The 19,376-nt window shown below is 37.0% G+C and overlaps 1 protein-coding gene across 1 annotated transcript in view, besides 2 other annotated features; it reads left to right on the top strand.

The window, feature by feature from the left end:
• Positions 1-19,376, top strand: part of ADGRB3 (adhesion G protein-coupled receptor B3) — a 754,225-nt gene that overhangs the window by 527,708 nt on the left and 207,141 nt on the right. The window lies entirely within an intron of this gene.
• Positions 16,788-17,082: an enhancer, noted in NCBI's record as "tiled region #1724; HepG2 Activating non-DNase unmatched - State 13:Ctcf, and K562 Activating non-DNase unmatched - State 13:Ctcf". NCBI's record gives its function as "activates a minimal TATA promoter and a strong SV40 promoter by Sharpr-MPRA in HepG2 and K562 cells {active_cell/tissue: HepG2 | K562}" and the evidence as "EXISTENCE:reporter gene assay evidence [ECO:0000049][PMID:27701403]".
• Positions 17,446-18,645: an enhancer, noted in NCBI's record as "CDK7 strongly-dependent group 2 enhancer chr6:69890327-69891526 (GRCh37/hg19 assembly coordinates)". NCBI's record gives its function as "activates an origin of replication core promoter dependent on BRD2, BRD4, P300/CBP, MED14 and CDK7 cofactors, with strong dependence on CDK7, by STARR-seq in HCT116 cells {active_cell/tissue: HCT116}" and the evidence as "EXISTENCE:reporter gene assay evidence [ECO:0000049][PMID:35650434]".

Genomic DNA, 19,376 nt, shown 5'->3' on the forward strand with positions numbered 1-19,376 from the left:
AGGAGGCAGCTTAGCCTTTCCAGCTGTGGGGATTCTGTTCCCTTGGCCTGCTTATTTGTCTGAGTCAATTCACTTGCCTCAGCCTGCTCTTACCTCCTGTTTATTGATTTTGGCTGACATTTAGTTCAACATGTTATAAATTCTCTTAATCATCTCAAAGAGAGAGAAGGGAGCAGAGATGCCCTAACCACTACCTCTCACATCAGCCCAAGACAGCTTCAGGTCATCCATTCCCCAGACAGAAGCTCAAGTTGAAATGTGTGTTTTTCTTACTACTACTTTAGCCACAGCAACACCAATGGAAATGTTAGTTCAGACATCCAAAAGTATATAAAATATCTGATTCTTTACTTTAATTGGGCAGCTTTTTTCTACCTCTATTGCAACCAGGTACCCCTCTTCCTATATTACCATGGGACAAATGATTTGCTCTGCAAATTACAAATGGACATAATTTTGAAAAGGTTAAACGCTACTCAAAAAACCTTCAAGTAAAGCCATTCAAATTATGTGAAAAAAAATTAAGGCGGAGAAAAGCTATATTTTCAATTTGGTCTTGCAAATGCTAATCAGTTCAGATAGGAGATCATAGATATAATAAATTGCTTGGAAGTGACCCAAAGCCCAGGTGAAATAGGATGGGCAGGTAGGTGCCAGTCACCAAGATTTTCTAGGGATAGATTAAGAAGCTGGTTGAATTGTAAATACTGTACAACCCTTTCAAGGTAGAGTCCCTAGGTTTTGCAGTAACTACATTAAAAGTAATTAAGCAACCTATACTTCATACAGAATTATCTTGCATTCGTTCTATGAGAAAAACCCACTGATTCTTTGTATAATTGATTGCCTTTTTAAAATTTGCATGTTGCATTCAGAGTAGATCCTTCAGGTATTGCATTATTTAAACTATTTTTCAACCACGACTTTCTTCTAAATTTTATGTTAGTATTTCTAAGTGCCTGATGAGGCATCTTTCAGGTATGAGGCTGCTCCTCCTTAAAAATTCCCTGCCCCTCTTAATTAGCATTTGCAAAATCTTCCCTCTAGTGAGATCTTTGAAGGTGAGGTATTGTCTAATTCAGCTTTGTTTCTCCAGTATTTTTTTCCCAAGGTGAAAGGAGTCACCCTTCTCTTCCTCTGTTCGCATAACTGCTCTTCTGATCATAACTACTTGTCTACATGTATATTTGTCATCACAAGCTAAGCTAAGGACTGCCTGTGGGTAGGACCTGGCTCCCATTTATCTTTTTTCCCCCTACACCTAGCACAGTGCTGGCACATGGCAGGCACTGAATATATTTGCTGAATGAAGGGAGACAGGAAACCCAAAAGAAAAATAGGACAAACCAAACAATACTGCTACTATTTTTTTGTCAAGTTAGAAAAAAAAAAGCTTACAAAGGGGATAATTTAATGACTAAAAACATGTAGAATCAGCGGTAAGCAGATGTTATCACATATCCAGACATTGGAGTGATTTCATGAAGAATTTGAATAAATGAATTTATTACTTTGTAACTTGCAAACCTCAAGTTAGCATAAGATTTATCTCTGAGCAGGGTCTTGTTATTATTAAAGGTAAGAAGGCAAGCATTAGCACCAGCCTAGAAGCCCATGTAGGTAAGTTTACTGTCAGTAGAGATAAGCACTCATAAGAGGCCACCAGGCAAGGGACAATTAAGATATTCATTCTATTAGATAGGCACTAATTGAGCACTTCTTGTGGGCCAGTTAGAAGACAGTGAAATGAATGAGACAGCGTCCGTGAACTCTGGGAACCTCAATTTAAGGGGGAGGCACAGCAGTTACACAATCATAATTAGATAATTTTCCATTGTCTGTTTTCTCTATTAGTTTCAAAGCTCTTTAAGGGCTTTCTATTCTTGGCAGCTAGCACAGTGCCTGGCACATATTAAACATTTCACAGATCCTAATGGGAAGAACAAATCATTCTATACCAAATGGAGAGTAGACATTATCCTCTTTCTATGCCCCACCCCTCCTCCCTCAGACCTTTATTCTGCCTGGAGGCTTCACACAGTCTCCTTACTGCTCACTCCAAATCTCTTCCACCCGGCATTATTTCACATTGCCACTAGGAGGACCTTTCTAAAGCTAAACCTGATCCCATTTGAAATCCTTAACATCATCCTCAAAAACAAACAGTGGTTTTTCATTTTGACAACACAGATCCTTTTGAAAATCTATTAAAAGGCTTCGAACATTCTCCCCCACTTAAAATGCATCTACAACACAAGACTTTGTGCCCAATTTCTAGTTATTTATGGTCAGCTCAATAGAGGTGCAAGAACCCTAAATTAAGAATCTCAGGATAAAATCCAAAATATGTAGGACACAAGATATCTGTCATTTTTGTGTCATCCTTGGGAACTATCTTCTCCCGCGGCAGCCATCCCCCCCAACTTCACTTTACACCCCGGCAAAACAATTGTTTGGTTTACTTCCACAAACACACCATGCTCTTTTGGATGCCATGTATCATCCTGGAGTTGATTTTTTCATTTTGCAACCTCAAGCCTTTATCTAATTGGTGAATCTTAATCAGCCTTCAAAAACAAGCTCACATTCTGCCTCCTCCAGGAAGCCTCTCCAACTAACAAACCCTAATTAAAGTCATCCCTTATTTCTTTGGGTTATTTCTGGTTCCTTTGCATACTCTAGAGTTGCTTATATTAACTGTTTTTATAGTTTACTCACCTGTCTCTCCTCTAAATTCTAGTAATATTACTAATAATAATGGTTAGTATTTAATGAGATTTTACAAATGTATGAGACACTGTTCTAACCATTTTATATGCATAAGGTAATTTAAATCTCACAAATACTCTATAAGGGTATTGTTTTTATCTTTATTTTATAGATGAAGAAACTGAGGCACAAGGGACTAAATTTTAATTCTTCTGAGTTAAGAACTTTATCTGAAAACATGTTAAAATGAATGGAATTGAAATGCAGTATTATAATAGAAATATTAACAAATTATTGAAACAATACTTCTGATAGAACCATTTACTGAGCACTGACTACTCTTACCGTTGTACTCAGAATTTTACAATATATTATCACTAATATCCACCACATTTCAGCAAGGCAGGTATTACTTCCCACCATTAACAATGAGGGAAGCAGACTTCTATTTAATTTTTTGGTACCAGGGCAGCTTTCTATGCAATCTCAATACAGAAGAGGGAAGACTACTTAGAAGAGCTGAACTGTGAGTGAGTATGACAAAAACCACAGTTTCAGCAGGTTCGTAGCTCGAAGAAAGCATGCAATGTGATAGAGGTGTGTCATCTAGGGAAGACCACATGGCCTTTTAGAAGGATCCCCACATGAATAGAGCCTTGGTTGGTCACATTTTCTCACTCTGAGCTTTGTACATTTACAAGTTTGAATATTAGTGCTTTCAAGAATCATCAGTCTCTAGAAGATTGATTCAATTTAAATAAATTAACAAGAAACCAATGTATAAAATGTAGAATGATACTTTATAAATTCATAATCTATTCACTGATAGGTACATTCACTCCTTGTTGCCAAAGCTATATAAAAAGCTACATCATAATTAAAAGATTGCCAGGAACACACAGAATTGGAGCTGTGGGGGTTAATGAGACTTAATTTTCCAACAAATATTGAGTGCATCAATTTGCCACTCACTGTTGTAGGCACTGAGGAAATCAACAGTGAAAATGAAAAAACAAGGTCCTATTCTCACAAATATTAAATACTAGGGTTGCATCATTAGGCCTGGTAGCTGTATCCTTCCATCTTCATTAAAGAAACAACTTAATTATATGCTAATTGTGATTACAAGGCACTCTCTTTTGAGCAGTACAATGGACTCTCAGTCAATGTTTGCTCCCTAGCTTTCTCTTTTCTATCAATGCTCTGTCACTGATCTTTTTTTAATCTGCTAAAGATTTAAGAAAAATGTTTGATGATGTTCAAGTTAACAATTAGGTTATGCAAATCTTAATCTGATGACATTTTGTTCCTTTAAGAACATTTTGTACATCTTTGTTCTGCTGTATGTTTATTTAGAGTTTGACTCTCACAGAGCAGGAAGCCGTACTTCTCTCTTTCCAAGTTCTTGGGCATTTATTGCTCATCCCATGCATCACTTATAGAGAGCAGCCAGGGTAGAAGTATGTATGCTTCTCTATCTGTTTGCAAACTGTATAGATAATTGTGTTTGTAGCCTATAGTATAGAGAGAAATGGTCTAAAAATGAAGCTTGAAGTCTAACCAGAAGGATTTTGAGAATCAGTTTAAAGAATATGAACTTTATTCTGTATTATATATGGTAGAAAGTCCTTGAAGGTTTTAGAACAAGAAGTGACATAATTAGATATGTATATTAGAAGGAACACATTTCAGGGCAAAAACTCAGATATACATGGAAAAAAACTGTCTCTTCCTGAAGCTGATCTGAATTTCTATTCCATGCCTCCGTTCCTCTAACTTATACAGTATGTGTAGTCTCAATTGATTTAGAATTTTTCAGTGCTTTGTCCTAGATTTTCTCACCAAACATCTAAATTTAGAGATTTGGGTTTTTCCAGTTTTGTTTTTGTTTTTTTCTCACGCCAATTCTAAATAATGTCTTTCAGGGTAAGAGAATAATACACTTTCCCCAGATATATTTGCGGGTATAAGAGCAGAAAGGCCTTGTGCTACATTCCTGAAAAGAGTCCACAAAAATAACCAGACCCCAGAGTTCTCCTGCCCTCCCACAAGGTGCAGAAGCTGTACCACAGAAATAGCTGGTTAGCCTGTATTAGAGATGGATAGAAGGCCTAAGCCAACATCACAGAGCCCTTAGTTGCTAGTGTAGGGGACAAGGGGACTTGCACTGGGGTGGTTCATGTTTTTAGGCAGCCTCAATGAGTTTCCCACAACAATGGAATTTTTTCCTATGTGCCCAGGAACAAAGAAATCTCTAAAAGGAAGTTTTATTTACAGTTACCTTGCATTGCAAAATGAGAAACGATGTATGATCTCCTCATACTGGGAGATTATTTAAGTCTCTGGAATTTGGATGCAGAACGGAGACTCTTATTAGAAATTAAGTTTTAGAAAAGAAATTTACACATTGTTCTTACCTAACTATGTAACCTGAAATTCTGAGCTGGTGCATAGTTTAGAATCTAATAAATTATAAGAGTCGATGCCTACCAAGGAAAGTTACTTAATCAGTAGAAACGTACAGTATATCACCAAGTAGGCGAGAACAGGGAAAATGCTGGGTTCAATTTCATCAGCCGAAAAACGGTTTGGAGATAATGTGACTGTAGCTACCTGAATAATTAAATGTGGAATTAAAAGCAGAATTCTAGCATGGGAAAACAAAATCTATCAAAAAGCAACAAATAAAGTTAATTAACTAGTTAACGTAAGGTCATACTAATTACCTGAATATTTACTAAGTACCCAAGTGTGACATTGATGGAGAACTAAAGGTTGCTTTAAAGGAAAAATATTCTCCAATAAACTAATGTTTTCGAAAACTAGTCTCCATGAATCACCCCACATAATTTGCAGTAGCATTTATCCCCACCAGTCCAACCACAGCTTTTTATTAGTCAGTCTCTCACTGATTATGGCTTATAGTGGGTATGAGCCATAATTTAAAATTAATTTAAATTAATTTAAAATTTAATTTTAATGCAAATCAATTGCAAACTAAAATTTCAATTTTTGCAAGATGTGATTTCATAGTTTCTGTAAGAAATGTTGTAGAATTACTCATATCATACCAAATCATTGACAGAATATCATTTTGTCCTCTTTTAAATTTTAGTTGGAAAAATCAGCATGTAATTCAGTCTACAGTTCTAAGAATTGATGTATAGTTACACTACAAACAAAATTTTTTAAATAAAAGTAAACATCTCATAAATTTTTTTTACTAACATCTCAACTTATTTTTATTTTTTTATTCTTGCTTTATAATATTTACCATAAAAATTTGATGTGTTTTAAAGGGATTTACCTTCACTTTCAGTTACTTTTTCCAATGATGTAATGAATATCTGCTATTCTAAATGAAACAGGTGGAAGTTTATGTAGGAAAAAAAGATAGTTCCTCTATAGCCATGCTGCCTGGGAAACAGATATACCTTAAAAAAAGAGTAAATGATTGAAGAGAGAGAAACTATATCACATTGACAGATGGATTGGGAAACAAATGCCCACTTGTTATAAATTGTGATTATGCAATTTTACAACTGACTACTGAAAATGTTGTTTATTTTGAAATATGTAGCCCACATCTAGCAAGTATAAAGTTCTTCACAGTATGCATGCTGTGCTCAATATAACTTCGTATTAGAGTTTACTTACCTATTTTTTTGGCCAATTTCTCTTACTTATTTTAAATTTGTCTTACAGTGCTGTAAGCTATTTCAGAACACTATAGTTACAATGAGTAACTAATGTGTTAATGATATAAATTAAATAATATTTAATGATATAAAAGTAATTACAAATTATAATTAAATTATATAATTATCATAATTAAATTATAATATAAGCACGAATTGTGATTAAATTATCATTTAATTATAAATTAAATGATATAATTAAATGATATAAATTAAATAAATACCATAGGTATTGAGAATCTTACAAAAAGTACAAATTGAATCTGTTGAAGATAATAGTTTTGACCTTAAATGTAAACAAGATCTTCTGAGGAATAACTAAAGAATAATATTCTATAACTATTGGTTCCCAATTTAAGTGCTCAGGAATATTCAACCATTTCTAATGTTTTAATGCCCATGAACTTTTTTCCTGGCAACTGTGGCCCAATAGAGGATAGTTTATAGCTTGACCTTGAATTAGACTATCATGCATAGCCTCTATTTAGTCTTAACAGCTTTGAGGTCCTTGGCTATCTAAGTGCAGAAAAATAGAGTCAGCTAGAAGGCTCTCTGGAGCACTCTTGGAACCTAACAATTCTACCACGAAGTCAGATCGAGAAAACCATTCAGGCTTTAGGAAGCACTAGTAGTTCTAAGTACAATTAATGAAGGGAAATTGACCCTAAGGAGAAGTTTTGCATAGATTTTCTTTACTCTTGCTCTCAAGGGACCCCTGAATGCTAAAATGTCATGAACACTTCACTAGCATTTTAGACTGAACTGATTTGAGACACTCAGAAGTAATTTTCCAAATTTTTATAATAAGGCCAAGTCTGAGACTGTTTTTCCTTGAACCATTTCAGTTCAAGCATATGTTGAAAATAAAGCATTTGATAAAAAGCCTAGATCTAGACTGTTTGAATGATGTGGATTCTCAACAGCATACTCTTTGCTTTTATAGGAAGTATTCTTTTTCTTTACGGCACTCAACTAGTATTTCATCACTTTCAAAGCTTTCTTGGCCCTTGCTATTTCTCCAGGATTCACTCCATTATTTTCAGCCTTTCTTCTAGAATAGGCCTATCTGTCCCTTTTTGTTTTTCACAGCAGCACTATATATTCTCTCATCCACAGATGCTTTGCCAAACTCTTATCACAGCCAAGGAATTAAGGTAGAATACAAATATACAGAACCACCACATTTCCCCAGAAAAGAAAGCAGGAGGTCTATAGAAGTGTTAAAACATGTAAACAATTCACTCTGATATATAGAAAAGGTGTTCTCTGCCGTAAAACTGCACAGGTAAAGTCGTATGGTATTGGAGAAGAGGAAGATATGACTTCTCATTGTAAAGGAATCATAGTAAGTCTTTCTTGATGAGATGGCATTGGAGCAAGAGCTCGAAAGGTAAGTAAAGATGGGGAATTCAGATATGGAATTAGAGCTTATTAGTGGCACATAGTTCAATTTTGCTTGAAGGTAGATGAACTCAAGGTAGAGAGTTCATGTAAGGTGACATAGAAAGTGTTATCAATTAGTGCTGTCTAACTGAAATATAATGTAAGCTACATACATAATTTGCAATCTTCTAGTAGCCATACGAAAAGTAAAAAGAAAAAAGTTATTTTAAAATTTAGTAATTGTAACTCTAATAATATATTCATTCTAAAAAGATATTTTATTTAACCCAATATATCTAAAATACTAATATTTTCACATGTAATCAGTGTAAAATTTATTAAGAAGATACTTACATTCTCTTTTTCATAATGTCTTTGAATTCCAGTGTATATTTTACACTTACTGCATATCTCAATTTAGACTAGCTAGTTTTCGAATGCTCAATAGCCACATATGGCTAATGACTTCCATGTTGGCCAGCATAGTTGTTGAATTTGTATGGATTTTAGTTGATAAGAACAAGAAAAGAAGAAAATGAAGAAAATTAGGAGATGGCTCTCTTTTCACTCAACATGTATATGTGATATGATCTGAGTTGAGAAACATGTGCCACCAAAAATGGCCTGGCCAACTTCCATACCCTTGTTCTTGGTAGTTATTCTGATTGCCAATCAGGTATCCATAGCTCCTACCCGTAGTCCATTTGCTATGGGGTAAGGTAACTCAAAGTTCTAGTTGTATGAAGATGCATATGATTTATCTTAGTCTCTTCCCTTGGGTATAGTTGTTGATTCTGTTATGATCCATACAATTGGAGGAGACATTTTCTGGGAAGTATAAGAAAGAAACCCCCTCTCCCTATTTAGGAAACAACCTGAGGTGACTCAACCTCATTCCCTGTCTTCCCCTGGATGTGAACAAAGGAATTTTAGGCAGTCATCTTGCAACTACTTAGCATAAAGAATGAATACAGAGTCAAAAAAAAAGCCCTTTATTACTCCAATAAACTACAGAATCTAACTAACCATATATCCTGTGGAAGATGTTGCTACCCAATATCAATTTTTTTCTTCCTCAGTAATGCAGCTTGACGTTTGATTCTACATTGCCACACAAAATAAGTACCTCATTTCCCAGCCTCCTTTGCAGTAAGGTATGGCCATGTGACTACTTCTAGCCAGTGACATGCAAAGGAATTATTACATATGTCTTCCTGGAAGTATGGTACCTCAGCGCTGGTGCAATAGCAGCTTTCTTGACCATGGTGCAACTTTGTAGTTGGAGGTTGTGTGTTGAGGATAGTGGAGCAGAAAGATTGAAGCCTATGTTTTTAGATCATGGGGGCTATCATATGAGCTTTGACCACCTATCCCCCACATTTCTTTTATATGAGAGGAATAAATGTCTATTTGTCTACAACCACTGTAGACACTGTGTACTTTGATCTTTTATATTATAGAAAAACCAAACCTAATTATGCCTACCTCTGGTGGTATAGCAATGACCAATACAGACGAGATCCCTGCTATCGGGAGACATCTCTCCTAGTGGAGGGAAAGAGAGATAATAAAGAAATAAACAGGCCAGGCGCAGTGGCTCACGCCTGTAATCCCAGCACTTTGGGAGGCCGAGGCGGGTGGATCACGAGGTCAGGAGATCAAGACCATACTGGCTAACACGGTGAAACCCCGTCTCTACTAAAAATAAAAAAAAATTAGCCAGGCATGGTGGCGGGTGCCTGTAGTCCCAGCTGCTCGGGAGGCTGAGGCAGAAGAATGGCGTGAACCTGGGAGGCGGAGCTTGCAGTGAGTCGAGATTGCGCCACTGCACTCCAGCCTGGGCGACAGAGCGAGACTCTGTCTCAAAAAAAAAAAAAAAAAAAAAAAAAAAAAGAGAAATAAAGAAAAAGAAAAGAAAGAAATAAACAAGCAAAAGAGAGACTTCTTGTTAGAGACAGAAGCAATAAGAGGGGCTACTTTGTGCAGTCAGGGGAGGCCTTCTTGAGAAGCAGACATTAGAGACGTGGCCTGAGGACAACAAGGAGCCGATCACAGGAAGATTTGATCCAGGCACTCTGGGCTGAGAGAGCAGACAGAACAAAATGGCTGAAATGGAAAGAAAGAATGCTGGTATGTCTGGAATACACTGAGTGACAAAGTGGTAAATAAAGAGACAGGAGTTATAGGCAGGGCCTGGATCAGTCAGGGCCCTTTAGGCCAGGAGAGTTGTGTGGGGTTTTGGTTTTTGTTTTTGTTTTTGTTTTTGTTTTTGTTTTGAGACGAAGTCTCACTCTGTCGCCCAGGCTAGAGTACAGTGGTGTGATGTCGGCTCACTACAACCTCTGCCTCCCGGGTTCAAGTGATTCTCCTGCCTCAGCCTCCCAAGTAGCTGGGATTATGGGCATGTACCACCACGTCTGGCTAATTTTTGTATTTTTAGTAGAGATGGGGTTTCACCATGTTGGCCAGGTTGGTCTCGAACTCCTGACCTCAGGTGATCCACCCACCTCGGCCTCCCAAAGTCCTGGTATTACAGGCGTGAGCCACGGTGCCCAGCCAGGCCAGGCAAGTTATTTGAATTCTTCTCTAGAGAATTTTGAAGCCACTGATTTTTCTTTTTTAAACAGAAGAAAAAGTGGTCTGATTTGTGTATTCATTTTTATTTACTTCTGAATTTATATTTTTGTGGATCACTTAGTGGATAAGACAGGTGTAAGAAAATTATTTGCAGTAGTCTAAATGAGAAAGAATGGTAACTTGGAGTAAGATGAGAGTGATGGAGATGAAGATGGATATGTGCATTTTTACACAATTAAAGGCATTGGGTAAATGGAAAGGATATTATAATAGTCAATTAACCTTGTAGCATTGTTTTTTTTTTTTATCTTATTGTAAGTCATTACTACTCTTTGTCTTTATCCAGCAGAAAGCAGGACCTAGAGGGAATGGAAGAATGATGGATAAACAGTGACAGGTGGATAAAAAAGGTCAGAGAATAAGATTGTGTGAGAAAACTCAGGGCACCTAAAAAACATTCTGAGGATGCTGAGCAAATGAAACAATGATGGGAGCACCCCAAAGCGTTTTATGACTGGGTAGGAAAAGGACAAAGCAGAAAGTAATGGAGAACATGCAGGAATGGTAATTTGTTCACCTCAAAATCTTAACCAAGCTCTTCATGTAGAAAATACTTTAGCTAATAAGATGAACGTTTGAAGAAAAGGATCTTCCATTACTTGCTGTAAAGTAGTAAAACCCTCATTGTTTTAAAGGAAATTACTCATGTACTTTTTTCTTTTTTTAAGATAATTTTTAAAAAATAATTTCAACTTTTATTTTAGATTCAGAGGTACTTGTTCAGGCTTGTTACCTGGGGATATTACATGCTGCTGAGGTTTGGGGAATGATTGATCCTGTCTCCCAGGTACTAAGCATAGTACTCAATAGTTGGTTTTTCAGCACTTGCATCCCTCTCTTCCTCCTCCCTCTAGTAGTCCCCATTGTCTATTATTGCCATTTATGTTCCTGAGTACCCAATGTTTTGTTCCCACTTATGAGTGAAAACCTGCAGTATTTGGTTCCCTGTTCCTGCATGAATTTGATTGGGATAATGGCCTTCAGCTACATTCACGTTGCTGCAAAGACCATGACTTCATTTCTTTTTGTGGCAGAATAGTATTCCATGGTGTATGCATATGACATTTTTTATACAATCCACTGTTAATGGGACCTGGGTTGATTCCATGTCTTTGCTATTGTAAATAGTGCTGCAATGCACATATAAGTTCATGTGTCTTTTTGGTAGAACAATTTATTTTCCTTTGGGTATATACCCCACAATGGGATTGCTGGGTCAGATGATTGTTCTGTTTTAAGTTCTCAGAGAAATCTGAAAACTGCTTTCCACAGTAGCTGAACTAATTTACCTAATTTACATTCCCACCACAGTGTACAAGCATTCTCTTTTCTCCATAGACTCACCAACATCTGTTGTTTTTTGACTTTTTAATAATAGCTATTCTGACTGGCGTCAGATGGTATCTCATTGTGATTTTGATTTGCAGCTCTCTGTTCATAAGTGATGTGGAGAATTTTTCACTTTTTTGACCACTTGTGTGTCGTGTCTTCTTTTGAAAAGTATCTGTTCAACTGTCTTTTGCCCATTTCTTAAAGGACTTATTTGCTTTTTGCTTGTTGAATTAAGATCCTTATAGATTCTCGATGTTAGACCCTTGTCACATGCATACTTTGTGAGTATTTTTTTTCCATTCTGTAGGTTGTCTGTTTACACTGTTGGTAGTTTCTACTGCTATGCAGAAGCTCTTTAATTTAATTAGAACTCACTTGTCAGTTTTTGGGTTTTTTTTGTTGCAATTGTTTTTGAGGACTTTGTCATAAATTCTTTCCCAAGTTTGATGTCCAGAATTAACTCAATATGGGTTAAACATTTAAATATAAGAGCTCAAACTATAAGACTTCTAGAAGAATTTAGGTCTTACATGTAAGTGTTTAACCCATCTTGAGTCGATTTTTGTATATGGTGAAATGTAGTGGTCCAGTTTCATTCTTCTGCATATGGCTAACCAGCCATCCCAGCACTATTTATTGAATAGGGAGTCCTTTTCTCATTGCTTATTTTTGTCAACTTTGTTGTAAATCAGATGGCTGCAGGTGTGCAGCTTTATTTCTGGGTTCTCTATTTTGTTCCATTGGTGTATGTGTCTGTTTTTGTACAAGTGCCATGCTGTTTTGGTTACTGTAGCCTTATAGTAGTACAGTGTGAAGTCAGGTAATGTGATGCCTCTGGCTTTGTTTTTTCCTTAGGATTGCTTCGAGTATTCAGGCTCTTCTTTGGTTTCATATGACTTTTTGAATATTTTTTCTAGTTATTTGAAAAACTATTTGGTACCTTGATAGGAATATCATTGAATTCGTAGATTGCCTTAAGCAGTATGGCCATTATAGTGATATTGACTGCCAATTCATGAGCAAGGAATGTTTTTTCCATTTGTTTGTGTCAGCTATGATTTCTTTCAGCAGTGGTTTGTGGTTTTCCTTGTAGAGATCTTTCACCTCCTTGGTTAGATGTATTCCTAGGTATTTTATTTTGCAGCTATTGTAAATGGGATTGCATTCTTGATTTGGTTCTTAACATGGCAATACAAGTTATTGGTGTATAGAAATGCTATTGATTTTGGTACATTGATTTTGTATCTAGAAACTTTACTGAAGTTGTTTATCAGTTCCCAGAGACTTTTGGCAGAGTCTTTAGGGTTTCCTAACTCTAAAATTATATCATCAACAAAGAGAGAGTTGACTTCTTCTTTTTCTATTTGGATGCCTTTTATTTTTTTCTTCTCCCTGATTTATCCAGCAAGTACTTCCAGCACTATGTTGTATAGGAGTGGTGAGAGTGGGCATCCTTATCTTGTTCCATTTCTCAAGAAGGATGCTTCTACATTCTGCACATTCAGTATGATGTTAGCTGCAAGTTTATCATGTGTTGCTGTTATTATTTTGAGGTATGTTCCTATGATGTCTAGTTTCTTCAGAGCTTTGATCATAAAGGGATGTTAGATTTTATCAAGAGCTTTCCCATGTCTATTGAGATGATTATATGGTTCTTGTTTTTAATTATGTTTATGTGATGAATCTCATGTATTGATTTGCGTATGGTAAGCCAACCTTGCATCCCAGGAATGAAGCCTACTTGATCATGATGAATTAACTTTTTGATGTGCTTCTAATTCAGTTTGCTAGTAATTTGAGAATTTTTGTGTGTGTGTCCATGTTCATCAGGGATAGTGGCCTGCTGTGTGGTGTCTTTGCCAGCTTTGGTGTCAGGGTGATGCTGGCTTTGTAGAATGATTTATGGAGGAGTCCTTCCTCCTTGATTTTTTGCAATAATTTTAGTAGAATTGTTGCCAGCTCTTCTTTGAACATTGGTAGAATTCAGTGGTGAATCCATCTGGTCTGCAGCTTTTTCATCACGTTAGTTAAGTTTATTATTACTGATTTAATTTCAGAACTCAATATTGATCTGCTCAGGGTTTCAATTTCTTCCCAATTCAATCTAGGGACATTGTATGCTTCTAGGAATTTATCTATTTCCTCTAGATTTTCTAGTTTGTCTGCATATAGGTATTCATAATAGTCTTTCAGGATTTTCTGTATTTCTGTGGAATTGGTTGTATAGTCACTTTCGTCATTTCTGATTGTGCTTATTTAGATATTCTCTCTTTCTTTCTAACTTAGCTAGCAATCTGTCGATCTTGTTTATCCTGTCAAAGAACCATTTTTGGTTTTGTTGATTTGTTGTATAGATTTTTGGGTCTCAGTTTTGTTCAGTCCTGCTCTGATTTTCGTTATTTCTTTTCTTCTAGGTTTGGGGTTAGTTTTTTCTTGTTTTTCTAGTTCTTCTGGCTGTGATGTTAGATTACTCATTTGAAATCTTTTTAACTTCTTGAGATAAGTGTTTGGTGCTGTAAACTTTGCTCTTTGCTCTTAATACTGCTTTTGCTGTATCCCAGATATTTTGGTATGTTGTGTCTGTTTTTCTTTATTTCAAAGATTTTTTTTTTTATTTTTATTTTTTTAGACAGAGTCTTGCTCTGCCACCTAGGCTAGAGTGCAGTGGCGCCGTCTCGGCTCACTGCAAGCTCTGCCTCCCGGGTTCACACCATTCTCCTGCCTCAGCCTCCCAAGTAGCAGGGACTACAGGTGCCTGCCACCATGCCTGGCTAATGTTTGTAGAGACGGGGTTTTACCCTGTCAGCCAGGATGGTCTTGATCTCTTGACCTCGTGATCCACCCGCCTTGGCCTCCCAAAGTGCTGGGATTACAGGTGTGAGCCACCACGCCCAGCCTATTTCAAAGACTTTTTGCTTATTTCTGCCTTAAGTTTGTTGTTTACCCAAAAGTCATTCAGGACCAAGTTGTTTAATTTCCATATAATAGTGTGTTTTTGAAATAACTTCTTGGTATTGGTTTTCATTTTTATTCTACCATGGTCTGACAGTATGATTGATATGATTTCAATTTATTTATTTATTTATTGAGACTCACCTTGTGGCCAAGCATGTGGCCAATCTTGGAATATGGTCCATGTGCAGATGAGGAAAATGTATATTCTCTGGCTCATGGGTGGAGTATTCCATAGATATCTATTAGCTCCAATTGGTCAAGTGTCAGAGTTTAGTCCAGAATTTCTTTGTTAGTTTTCCTTCTCAAGGATCTGTCTAATGCTGTCAGTAGGATGTTGAAGTCCCCTGCTGTTATTTTATGGCTGTCTTTTCACAGGTCTAGAAGTACTTGTTTTATGAATCTGGGTGCTCCAATGTGGTATGCATATATACTTGGAATATATGCATCTTTTGTTGAACTGAACCCTTTATCATGATGTAATGCCCTTATTTGTCCTTTTTTACTTTGGTTGGTTTAAAGTCTTTTTTATCTGATATAATAATAGTGACCCCTGCTTCTTCTTTGTGTTCAGTTTTGCATGATAGATCTTTCTCCAACCCTTTACTTTGAGGTTATGAATGACATTACATTACAGGTGTGATGGGTCTCTTGAAGACAGTAGACAAATGGTTCTTGGTTTTTTTGTTTGTTTGTTTTATTTTTTAATCCAACTTGCCACTCTGTGCCTTTTATGAGGGACAATTAGACTATTTACATTCAAAGTTAATATTGACATGTGAGGTCTCAACCTATCATGAACTTGTTAGCTGTTTGCTTTGTGGTTTCTATTGCTTTATAGGGCCTATGAGTTATGTATTTAAATGTATTTTTGTGGTAGCAGGTATCATTCTTTCATTTCCATGTTTAGAACTCCCTTAAGGATTTCTCATAAGTTTGGTCTGACAGTAATAAATTCCCTTAGCACTTGTTTGCCTCAAAAAAATTTGTTTCTCCCTTACTTATGAAGCTTAGTTTGGCAGGATATGAAATTATTAGTTGGAATTTCTTTTATTTAAGAATACTGAAAATAGTCCCTCAGTCTCTATTGGTTTATAAGGTTTCATCTGACAAGTCTAGAGCCTAATGAGATTTCCTTTGTAAGTGATCTGACCTTTTCTCTAAGTGCCTTTGAGATTTTTTCTTTATTGTTGATCTTAGATAGCCTGGTGACTATATCCTTTGTTGATGTCTGTTTTATATAGTATCTCACGGGTGTTCTCTGGATTTGTCGTAACTGGATGTCTACCTCTTAAGCAAGATTAAGGAAATCTTCTTGAATTGTTATGTCAAGTATGTATTCCAGGTTGTTTTCTTTTTCTCTGTCTCTCTCAAGAATGCCAGTAATTTGTATGTTTGGTCACTTTACATAATCCAATATTTCTCAAAGAAATTCATTTTTTAAATGTTTTTTTAAATGAATTCCTCAAAGAATTTCATTTTTAAAAAAATTATTTTCTCTATTTTTATCTGACTGGTTTAGTTTGAAAGACTGGTCTTCAAGCTCTGAAATTATTTCTTCTGCTTGGCCCAGTCTATTGATAAAGCTTTCAATTGCATTTTGAAAATTTTTAAGTGAGTTTTTGTATTCTAAAAGCTCTGACTGATTTCTTTTTAAGGTGTGTATCCCTTCTCCATTTCGTAGATTGCTTGAAAAGTTTCTTTATGTAGATTTTCAACCTTGTCTTGGATCTCATTGAGCTTCCTTACAATCCTTGCTTTGAAATTTTAATCTGTCATTTGAATTTTCATTTTGGTTAGGGACCATTGCTGGAGAGCTCATGTGATCCTTTGCTGGCATCACTACATTCAGATTTTTCATGGTGCCAGAATTCTTGAACTTGTTTCTTCTCATCTAGAGATGCTGACACTTAGCTTTTGTAATTTTCTCATGTGGTAGCACTTTTTTTTCTAGATAATATTATTGCTTGTTTCTTCTTTCCCTTTCATTCCTTCCCTGGGGTGTGTGGCTGTAGAGAATGCTGGGTAAGGTTTTTTGGCTTGGCTTCTGTAGCCCTATGTACTTCTGTCAGCAGGTTTTATATTGGACTGTGCAGTTTGACTTACAAGCCAGTAGGTGACACTTATGGGTAAGAGCTGTCTGTGGCCTGTAATGACTAGGCATGTACTTGATCCTTGTTTACTTGGAGAACCTCTCTGTTGCCTAGGGCAATGGGCTGATTCATGAAGTGCACTGTGGTCTGAGCTCTCTCCTCAGCTTCTGGGTGCAGGAGCCAGATGGGCAGGGCCAGACTGGGCATGTCCACCTGCAGGTCCCCCAGTGGCAGGCAAAAGCACCAATACTGAGGGACTATCCAGTGGATGGCTATTAAGCATCCAGAGGTGTGGCAAGGCATGGAGCTGGGAAACCTCCTTGGCCCTGAGTTTTCTGTATGAGAATGGGAGCAACCTAAACTCCTAATTCAGAAAGCAGCTGCTTCAGGTGCCTGGAGATCTGCCTGGGTGTGGCGTAGAGCAGTCCCTTCTACATTAGGATCCCTGCACATGAATGGTGGGGTGGCTCAGACTATCAGTTTGGGCAAACAGGTGCTTTGAATGGTTGGAGATCTGCCTGGGCATGGAGCAGAAAGGGCCTTCTTGCACCACAATCTATGCAAAGGAAGTGTGGGGCAGTTTAGGCTGCTGATGCAGGTGAATGGGCAATCAAAATGCCTAGAGAATCTGTCTAGGTGTGGAGTGAAGACGTCTTCACTGTACAACAATCTGTGTCTAGGAAGGGTGGGGCAGCTCAGGCTGCTTAACCAGTTGAGTTAGTGCTCTGAATGCCTGGAGATCTGCCTAGGAATGGAGTAGAGAGAGCCCTGCTCCATCATTATCTCAGGAGAGCAGGCTGGGGCAGGCAACAATGACATACACAGACCAGTTCCAGGTTGCCAAGCTGGCCGTAGCTGCAAGTCTTAGTCCAGGAGAAACTGCAGTTGTAGCAGCTCTCCTTCTGCCTCAGGCCTGCAATGGGGAGAGCATAATTGTAACACCTACTGCTGAGCTGCTTTCCACAGTTCTGGCTGTGGAGGCCCCTACCCGACTCCAGAGTACGTACTCCATTTCTGGCCAAAGACTAAAATGCCTGCATGACCAGCCTGCTGGATCACCACAGAATGGCTGATTTTGTATGCCCCGGGATTAAAAATGGCGTCCTGCTCTTGCTCCTGGTTCTGGGAAAATCCCAGCAGCTTTTCCTGGTGTCTTTCCCTCACAGAGTACCCAAGCCTCTCTGCAAGTCAACTCCAGAGCTTGGGAGAAAAGAAAACGTACTCCCTCAGCCTACTGGGTTGCTCAGATCCCCAGGAGAAAAGTGAGTCACAGAGGGCTCTCTGTCTGTCTCACATACTGGGGCTTCACTCACTTTTATCAACTGGACGCCATCACAGGGGCTGTTTGCCTGCATCCTCCTCCTGAGATGTGGGGTGTCCTTTATGATTCTGGTGAATTCCAATTTTCCTTATTGAAATACAGCTCATAGAGTTTCTCTTTATGCACTATCTTTCTATTTCTAAGGGCTGAAGCATGCCTCTAATCACTATCTTGAAAAAAAAAATGTGTTAATGTTTTAATCATGATCTATGTCCATCACATTTACTTTTCCTCATAATATTCTTATTTTTTTAAAAAAATACATTATTCCAGTCAGACAGGTTGAATTCATAACTCATTTTTTTGTTTAAATTTCATTTTTAAAACCTATAAATGCACGATATATGCATTATAAAAACATCTGAGACGGTAAGACATATAGAATTGGAAATACTTATAATTATATTACCTAGAAGCTAAATTATCTTTGAATTTTTTGGAGGCTTTTATACATTAATATCATTTTTAAATGGTTTTTGCTTCTTGCATATACATTATCAAATAAACATAAATGTAAACAACATTCAGTTTCTTCTTTCCACCTTTTGCCTAGAATGTTGTCTTCTTAAGCTTTGCTTCGTCAATGATTACTATCTGCAAAAACATTTTAAACTATTTGGAAACTGCTTTTATGTAGCCATAAATATATTCTCCTTTCTTTGAAAGTTCATAGTACTATATTTGTACTTCTATTTTACTTACCTTATTTCATTTTTTTACTATAATCATTTAGTCAACTAGATTTTTTATAATCAACTAGGTTAATAATTTCTTGTGTTTGGGGATAATCTTAGTTAGCATTGTTTCCAATAACACCTAAAGAAGATACTCAATAAACAAGTAAATTGTATGACATTCAGTAGTTCCAATGAGAGGACCTTTATGACAGTTGTTCATCGCAAAAATTGGCTCACCAGATTTCCCAACCTCAGGACTTTTGACTTGGAAATATGGCCAAAAAAATCATTTATTTGGCAACAAAGACTGAAAATGGAAGGATGCACAGGCACACAGATGCACCCATGAGACAGGAGAGGATCTTATGACACACGTATAAAACTGGGTTATGAGTGATGCAAAAATCATAAGTAAACATAAACTATGGCATAGAGAAAAATTGCAGAGTAGAGTATGAAGAAACCAGTTAGTAATGGAAAGATAATCGTAGAGTTACATAAACAAAATCTCACAAATCACCACTAAAGAACTTACTCATGTAATCAAACACCACTTGTTCCCCAGAAACCTATG

Source organism: Homo sapiens, chromosome 6 (genome assembly GCF_000001405.40).
Source record: "Homo sapiens chromosome 6, GRCh38.p14 Primary Assembly".
Classification (NCBI taxonomy): domain Eukaryota; kingdom Metazoa; phylum Chordata; class Mammalia; order Primates; family Hominidae; genus Homo; species Homo sapiens.